This window comes from Homo sapiens, chromosome 12, assembly GCF_000001405.40.
Source record: "Homo sapiens chromosome 12, GRCh38.p14 Primary Assembly".
Lineage (NCBI taxonomy): Eukaryota > Metazoa > Chordata > Mammalia > Primates > Hominidae > Homo > Homo sapiens.
The window spans coordinates 120,434,298-120,442,866 of NC_000012.12; the positions used below are offsets into that span (position 1 = coordinate 120,434,298).

General features: G+C 47.5%; 1 protein-coding gene and 1 pseudogene across 1 annotated transcript, besides 3 other annotated features; one reads left to right on the forward strand and one right to left on the reverse strand.

The window, feature by feature from the left end:
* Positions 3,816–6,433, forward strand: COX6A1 (cytochrome c oxidase subunit 6A1). Its single transcript, NM_004373.4, has 3 exons — positions 3,816–3,932; positions 4,082–4,224; positions 6,157–6,433. The coding sequence occupies exons 1-3, from the start codon at positions 3,830–3,832 to the stop codon at positions 6,238–6,240; spliced, it is 330 nt and encodes a 109-aa protein (NP_004364.2). The 5' UTR covers positions 3,816–3,829; the 3' UTR covers positions 6,241–6,433.
* Positions 3,853–4,062: an enhancer, noted in NCBI's record as "active region_7143". NCBI's record gives its function as "activates an Ori minimal core promoter by ATAC-STARR-seq in GM12878 lymphoblastoid cells {active_cell/tissue: GM12878}" and the evidence as "EXISTENCE:reporter gene assay evidence [ECO:0000049][PMID:35858748]".
* Positions 3,853–4,510: a biological region, named in NCBI's record as "H3K27ac-H3K4me1 hESC enhancer GRCh37_chr12:120876089-120876610".
* Positions 3,989–4,510: an enhancer, noted in NCBI's record as "H3K27ac-H3K4me1 hESC enhancer chr12:120876089-120876610 (GRCh37/hg19 assembly coordinates)". NCBI's record gives its function as "activates a minimal SCP1, AML or CMV promoter by ChIP-STARR-seq in naive H9 embryonic stem cells {active_cell/tissue: H9 hESC(naive)}" and the evidence as "EXISTENCE:reporter gene assay evidence [ECO:0000049][PMID:30033119]".
* On the reverse strand, positions 5,146–5,288 carry LOC124903126 (uncharacterized; annotated as a pseudogene).

Consider the following 8,569-nt stretch of genomic DNA (forward strand, 5'->3'; position numbering starts at 1 on the left):
TTTGTCATGTTGGCCAGGCTGGTCTGAAACTCCTGACCTCAGGTGATCCGCCTGCCTTGGCCTCCCGAAGTGCTGGGATTACAGTCATGAGCCACTGCACCCAGCCTCTCTGGTGGTATCTTTTGGAAAGATATCTTTCTGGAAAACTCTTTCCATCCCAGCCCAAACTTGTCTCTGACTCACTCATTTATTTGAGGGTAGGTGACTTAGATGTCATATCCTACAGGAGGGCAGACTGACTGCCCCTCCAAAGCCAAATGCCATTTTGATCCTCTTCTATTGACCCTGTACCACCTCGATCAAGACAATTCTTTGTTTTTTTTTCTTTTATGGTCAAAAAATTTAAGACTAGTTCCAACTTGAAGTAGTTTTGTTTCAACAGATCAAGATAATTCCTTGTTTTTTTTTTTTTTGAGACAGAGTTTCACTCTTGTCACCCAGGCTGGAGTGCAATGGCACGATCTCTGCTCACTGCAACCTCCACCTCCCAGGTTCAAGCGATTCTCCTGCCTCAGCCTTCCAAGTAGCTGGGATTACAGGTGCCCACCATCACGCCCGGCTAATTTTTGTATTTTTAGTAGAGACAGGGTTTCACCATATTGGCCAGGCTGGTCTCGAACTCCTGACCTCAGGTGATCCACCTGCCTCGGCCTCCCAAAGTGCTGGGATTACAGGCATGAGCCATCGCACCTGGACTAGATCAAGACAATTCTAACAGTTAACAATTATTGAGCACTCATTTTGTGCCAGGCACTGTGCTAAGAGTGCAGTATCTCAGAGTGGTTAAACATGGAGGCTTTGGGGCCAGACTTCTAGATTTAAATTCTGGCTCTGGGTCAGGAACAGTGGCCGACACCTGTAATTCCAGAACTTTGAGAGGCTGAGGTGGGAGGATCGCTTAAACTCAGGAGTTTGAGATCAGCCTGAGCAACATAGTAAGACCCCGTCTCTAAAAAAAAAAAAATTAGCTGGATGAGGTGGTGTGCACTTGTAGTCCTAACTACTCAGGATGCTTGTTAGGTGCAGTGGCTCATGCTTGTAATCCCAGCACTTTGGGAGGCCGAGGCAGGTGAATCACTTGAGGTCAGGAGTTTGAGACCAGCCTGGCCAACGTGGTGAAGCCCCATCTCTACTAAAAAATTCACAAATTAGCCGCGTGTGGTGGCGCACGCCTGTAATCCCAGCTACTCGGGAGGCTGAGGCAGGAGAATTGCTTGAACCCAGGAGGTGGAGGTTGCAGTGAGCCAAGATTGTGCCACCACACTCCAGCTTGGGTGACAGAGCAAGACTCCATCTCAAAAAAAAAATTTGTTATACAAAGGAATGAATAAATGCATATTACATTATTACATTCCTATTGTAGAGAAGAGGAAGCATAGCTGGTGGCAAACCAGAGATTTGAACCCAGGAGTTCCTGATCCCTGTCTTGAACACTTTCTTTTTCTTTTTTTTTTAGAGATGGTGTCTTGCTATGTTGCCCAAGCTGGACTTGAACTCCTGGGCTTAACGGATCCTCTGGCCTCAGCCTCTCAAGTAGCTAGGACTACAAGCAAGCCCGGCTAGCTTAGACCCTTTGTATGGCCCCAGTGTGGGGCCTCATATACCCTTTGGCTGTGTTTGAGGACGTGTTTGACAGATTTGATGATCTTGATTGCACCCTGAAGTATAAAAACTTAGGCTACTCGAGAAAGATTTCATGCTAAATCAGGTAGTAAAGCTCTAGTAATATGATCCTAAGGTTTTGTCTTCATGAAACTGCATGACCTTAAGGCATCGGTTTCAGCTAACCTGCCCAAGGCCACACAGGCTGTAAGGGAACAAGATGTGAGCCCAGCCTTCTCACACTAGAGTCCCTGTTTGTTCTCCTACCCGGACTTTTTTGTTGCTGTTGTTGTTTTGAGACCAGAGTCTCGCTGTGTCGCCCAGGCTGGAGTGCAGTGGCATGATCTCAGTTCACTGCAAACTCCACCTCCTAGGTTCAAGAGATTCTCTTGCTTCAGCCTCCCATGTAGCTGGGACTACAGGCTTGCGCCACGACGCCGAATAATTTTTGTATTTTTAGTGGAGACGGCGTTTCACCATGTTGGCCAGGCTGGTCTCGAACTCCTGACCTCAAGTGACCCACCTGTCTCCGCCTCCCAAAGTGCTGGGATTACAGGCGTGAGCCACAGTGCCGGCCTTTTTTTTGTTTTGTTTTGAGATGGGAGTTCAACTCTTGTTGCCCAGATTGGAGTGCAATGGTGCAATCTCAGCTCACTGCAACCTCTGCCTCCTGGGTTCAAGCGATTCTCCTGCCTCAGCCTCCCAAGTAGCTGGGATTACAGGCATGTACCACCATGCCCGGCTCATTTTGTATTTTTAGTAGAGATGGGGTTTCACTATGTTGGTCAGGCTGGTCTCGAACTCCTGAACTCAGGTGATCCACTCACCTCGGACTCCCAAAGTGCTAGGATTACAGGCATGAGCCACTACATGCAGCCCCCAGGAGCTCTTGATCTGAGGCATAAAGATGCTTAGAGGGTTTCCAAATATATTTTATGGTCACCTATTCTCCCAACAATGTGTGCTATACTGTGTGTTTACACATAGGTGTGTCTTTAGAGGAAAGGGTTCAAAGCTTTCATTAGATTCTTTTTTTTTCTAATAAAGAAAAAAGCTTTGTTGCCCAGGCTGGTCTCAAACTCTCAAGCTCAAGCAATCTGTCCGCCTCGGCCTCTCAAAGTGTTGGGATTACAGCCATGAGCCACCACGCTGGTCCTCATTACATTCTCAAAGGGGCCTATTGAAAAAAAAAAAAAAAAAAAAAAAAAAGGCCGGGCACAGTGGCTCACGCCTGTAATCCCAGCACTTTGGGAGGCCGAGGAAGGCGGATCACAAGGTCAGGAGATGGAGACCATCCTGGCCAATATGGTGAAACCCTGTCTCTACCAAAGTACAAAAAAAAAAATTAGCCAGGCATGGTGGTGCGTGCCTGTAATCCCAGCTATTCAGGAGGCTGAGGCAGTAGAACTGCTTGAACCTGGGATGCAGAGGTTGCAGTGAGCCAAGATTGCACCGCTGCACTCCAGCCTAAGCAACAAGAGTCAAACTCCGTCTCAAAAAAAAAAAAAAAAAAAAAAAAAAAAAAGATGAGACTGTTGAGTCAGGATTAGGATCCAGGTCTGCTGGCACCAATTTCAGTGCTCTTTATACTTTCTGTTGCTATTCATTCATTCATCCATTCATTCAGCAAATTTATATCAAGTATCTGGTATGTGCCAGGTATGATTCCAAATTACACCATTCCCAGATTATTCTGAGAATGCTGCAGTGCCAAACTCTTGGTATCACAGACTTTATATTCTAGTGGGGGAGACAGACAAAATAATAATATAACGACGAAGGTGCAATGTTATGTGCTATGAGAAAACGCAGTCGGAGGATGGCGAGGAAGGGGAACGGAATTTTAGATAGGGCGGTCTGGGATCAGAACCTCCAGATGCCCGTCCATGGACTCCAACGAAGGGAGCGATTCCAGGTACCAGGGCACCCTGCACAAACCTCTCTTGAGCTTCCGCCTCGCCCAGGTGGGGACGGTAGGGAGACCGGAGGGCACACGCATGCGCACGAAGGAAACGGTAAAGCCTGAAGGGAGGTGCAGAGCGCATGCTCTCTCTTGCCCGAGATGCCGAGGATTTTGACAAGGACTCCGTCGTCCCGGATGATAGTGCTCAGGTTAATGCCAGTGGGAGGGCGGCGCCCAATAGTAACTTCCTTTGGAGGTTGTAGTACCGCCCCCAGAGCCAATTTTCCACTTCCGCTTCCGGCGCTGCGGCAGTCCAGATCAAAAATGGCGGTAGTTGGTGTGTCCTCGGTTTCTCGGCTGCTGGGTCGGTCCCGCCCACAGCTGGGGCGGCCTATGTCGAGTGGCGCCCATGGCGAAGAGGGCTCAGGTACTGGGGCCGGGGTCGACGGGTCGAGCCTCAGCCCCACTCGGGCGAGACAGGGAGGGACTGTGACCTTGGCCCGAGGCCTTGCGGGAGGGAAAGTGAGACCCGGGCCCGCCCCATACCGGCGCTGAACGTTTGTGGCTTCTCCGCAGCTCGCATGTGGAAGACTCTCACCTTCTTCGTCGCGCTCCCCGGGGTGGCAGTCAGCATGCTGAATGTGTACCTGAAGTCGCACCACGGAGAGCACGAGAGACCCGAGTTCATCGCCTACCCCCATCTCCGCATCAGGACCAAGGTACGCCCTTGTACATCTCTTCAAGCGTCCGTTCTCTTTTCGTTATGTGTGCCTTAGTGCAAGTTCTTCATTCTCTGAAGGCATGGGTGCCAGGCGTGTACAGCTTGTTTATCCTCACAAACAGAAAATGTATTTTCTTCCATTTTGTGGATGGACAGCTGACACTTGGGATTACGTCTCAATTCTCTTCTTCAAGGTCATACAATAAGTGCTCTTCAGTTTCCCTTTTCTCCGATTCATCCTACCTCCTGCCTTCTGAGACAGTTCTTTTTTTTTTTTTTTTTTTTTTTTTTACTTCTGAGACAGTTCTGAAACAGGTGTCCGTTGTGTAAAGCCTGGAGGTTTGGGAAATCCAATTAGAGTGGCAAAGTCTGAAGGTGGTTCGCGTAAGCGAACCCAGCAGCTACATGGGAGGCTGAAGCAGGAGAATCCCTTGAACCTAGGAGGCGGAGTTTGCAGGGAGCTGAGATCGTGCCACTGCACTCCGGCCTGGGCAACAGAGCGAGACTCTGGTCTCAAAACAAAACAAAACAGCAACAACAAAACATGGGCATCTGGCAGCTACTAGTTGCATAATGAAGAGACTGACAGCTTTCTCTATTCCCCACCAATACCTTTTCTCGACTGTTTTATCATTGGTTGTTGATGTAGATATATTACAATGTTGTGTCCTCTGTTGTTTGCTGTATCTTTAACAAGGGCTTATTCTGATTCTTCAATACTGGCCATGCGCGGTGGCTCACGCCTGTAATCCCAGCACTTTGGGAGGCCAAGGTGGGTGGATCGCCGGAGGTCAGGAGTTCAAGACCAGCCTCGTCAACATGGCGAAACACTATCTCTACTAAAAGTACAAAAAGTAGCCGGGCGTGGTGGCGGGCGCCTGTAATCCCAGCTACTCGGGAGGCTGCGGTGGGAGAATCTAGGAGGTTGAACCCAGGAGGAGGAGGTTGCAGTGAGCCAAGATCCAGCCATTGCACTGCAGCCTGGGCAACAGGAGTGAAACTCCGTCTCAAAAAAAAATAGTAATAATATACTTGATCTTAGCCAAAAGGCCGAGAAGTGATGAAAAAAGTTATTATTATTATTATTATTATTACATCACCTAGCCCATATAGGACTGGCCTTGTAGAAACTTAACCTAGACTCTTGAATTTGTTGAGTCTTTGAGCGGCACTCCCATCCTTGTACAATGCAATTAGAAGCCAAACAGTAAAGGTTTCTCAGCCTCAGCACTGTTGACATTTGGGGCTGGGTAATTCTTGTTGGGGGGCTATCTTGTGCATTGTGAAATGTTTAGCCATATCCTTGGCCTGTACCCACTAGGTGGCAGTAGTACCTGCGCAACCCCACTCCCGCTTCCCCCTCCCCCGCCCCCATCACAGTGTCTCCCGATACTACCCAGTGTGCCCTGAAGGGGCAAAATCACCCTGGGTTGGAGACCGTTGCCCTAAAGTAATGCTTTTCAAAGGTAATAGGCAAGATAATTCAGGGTGGGCTGCAGTTTCCCAGCCCAGATATTGTTTGAAGTCTGGGATGGTGCCAGAAATCTGCATTTAATTAAGCATCTCCCTCCCCTAATACTGCCACCATTTTGATATAGGTGATTTGAGGATTACACTTTCATAAACACAGCACTGGATATACTAGTTACTAGGGAGAGGATGATGAGTAACTAACTTGAGCTTGCATTTTCTGCCATCCATATTTGTTTCTGGAATTAAAACTGTCCTGTAGCCAGGATAACTTTAAGGGCTCCCCTGGTAGTTATAAGAGCTCCTTAAATAATGGGAAGGTTGAACTACACCAGTAGATAAAGGACTAATTTCCATTTTGTTTTTATATATGATCTGTCACCCCGTTATAAGCAGTTCATGACGGTGTTCTTTCTAAATTATTTTCTGGAATTATCTAACTGACATCTTCACTCCACAGCCGTTTCCCTGGGGAGATGGTAACCATACTCTATTCCATAACCCTCATGTGAATCCACTTCCAACTGGCTACGAAGATGAATAAAGAGAATCTGGACCACTACCCGGGCACCAGGGACCACAGCACTGGTTTGGACCGTTACTCTGCACATGGACCAGAAAAAGTATATGGGACCTTAAGCTCACCTTCTTTACTTGTATCAAATGATGACTGGTATACTGGTCTCCCATCCCTTTGCTTGTGGCAGGAGATGGCTTAAATAAATAACTTAAATTTAGATTGGTCATGAGCTGAGAGTTACTTTCTTTGGTTGTGTTTTTTCGCAGAAATTAGCATTTGAGCTTCAAGTCAGTGTCCAAGTTGAAAAGAAATTGGCATTAGTTATTTCTGTTTCCACAGTGAAGGTCTAGGCTGCTGTTTAGTGTTACAGGTCCAATTCAGCCCATTGAATAAGTGTTTATAACAGCCCCTCTTGGTTTATTGTGCCTGATGTGGATAAAGGGACCAAGTGGAGTGGTGCTAATTAAGCATCAAGATTAGTCCTTGGTCAGGTGCGGTGGCTCATGCCTGTAATCCCAGCACTTTGGGAGGCTGAGGCTGGCAGATCACCTGAGGTCAGGAGTTGGAGATCAGCCGGGCCAACATGATGAAATCCTGTCTCTACTAAAAATACAAAAATTAGTTGGGTGTGGTGGCGCACTCCTATAGCTGGGTGTAGAGGCTTGAACCCGGGAGGTGGAGGTTGCAGTGAGCCAAGATCGTGCCACTGCACTCCAGCCTGGGCAACAGAGTGAGACTCTGTCTCAAAAAACAAAAGATTGGTCCTTGACGGGCCTGAGATATCAAAGACATTGAATGGCTAGCAGAATGCCTGCAATTTACACCTGAAAGAGGTATCTGTATTTCTCAAGAGGAAGTGCTTGATCTGGGTCTCATCTTTTTCCTGTCCCATTCCACTAGCATTTACTGCAGAATCTTCCCTGTAGTCATAATTTTCTTGAACATGTCAAGTTCTTTTTTTTCTTTTTTTTTGAGACGGAGTCTCTCTCTGTTGCCCAGGCTAGAGTGCAGTGGCACGATCTCCACTCACTGCAAGCTCTGCCTCCCAGGTTCAAGCCATTCTCCTGCCTCAGCCTCCCGAGTAGCTGGGACTATAGGCACCCGCCACCACACCCAGCTAATTTTTTGTATTTTCAGTAGACACAGGGTTTCACCATGTTAGCCAGGATGGTCTCGATCTCCTGACCTCGTGATCCACCCGCCTCAGCCTCCCAAAGTGCTGGGATTACAGGCGTGAGCCACCGTGCCTGGCCTCGAATGTGTCAAGTTCTTACTTTGAGGTAATCTCCTTCAGGGCTGGTAGGGTCAGAAATCTTAAGAGAAACAAAGGGAGCGTGACACATTTCTGCTTATTGGCTTTTCTGTGGAATTAAAACTATCCTGCTTTAATGGATAGTAAATGGTAGTAGTAGTAGTTACAAAACCACTCTGAGAGGGCAATTATTATTATTATTATTATTATTATTTTTTTTTTTTTTTTTTTTTTTTTGAGATGGAGTCTCGCTCTGTCGCCCAGGCTGGAGTGCAGTGGCGGGACCTCGGCTCACTGCAAGCTCCACCTCCCGGGTTCACGCCATTCTCCTGCCTCAGCCTCCCAAGTAGCTGGGACTACAGGCGCCCGCCACTACGCCCGGCTACTTTTTTGTATTTTTAGTAGAGACAAGGTTTCACATGTTGGCCAGGCTGGTCTTGAACTCCTAACCTCAGGTGATCTGCCCACCTCAGCCTCCCAAAGTGCTAGGATTACAGGTCTGAGCCACTGTGCCTGGCCAGAGCTGGTTTATTTTATTTTATTTTATTTTTTGAGACAGAGTTTCGCTTTTGTTGCCCAGGCTGGAGTGCAATGGCATGATCTTGGCTCACCACAACCTCCACCTCCCAGGTTCAAGCAATTCTCCTGCCTCACCCTCCTGAGTAGCTGTGATTACAGGCATGTGCCACCACACCTGGCTAATTTTTTGTATTTTAAGTAGAGATGGGGTTTCTCCATGTTGGTCAGGCTAGTCTCAAACTCCCAACCTCAGGTGATCTGCCCACCTCAGTCTCCCAAAGTGCTGGGATTACTGGCGTGAGCCACCGCGCCCAGCCAGCTGGTTTATTCTTAAGGCTCAAAGGAACACTTTCGTGGTAAGGTTCAAGAGGCAACAAGGTATTTCATATTATATTACATTAAACTGGTAACGCAAAAGTAAGGCATATACAGTACGGAATAGAGAATCTCATTGTCTTTGCCATTTTGTAATAATTAACGGAATAGAGAATCTCATTGTCTTTGCCATTTTGTAATATTACAGCCTGCACTTCTGAGTCCCTATAGAGCTGTTTTGGTTGTGGCCAGTCTGAGTTTAGGACA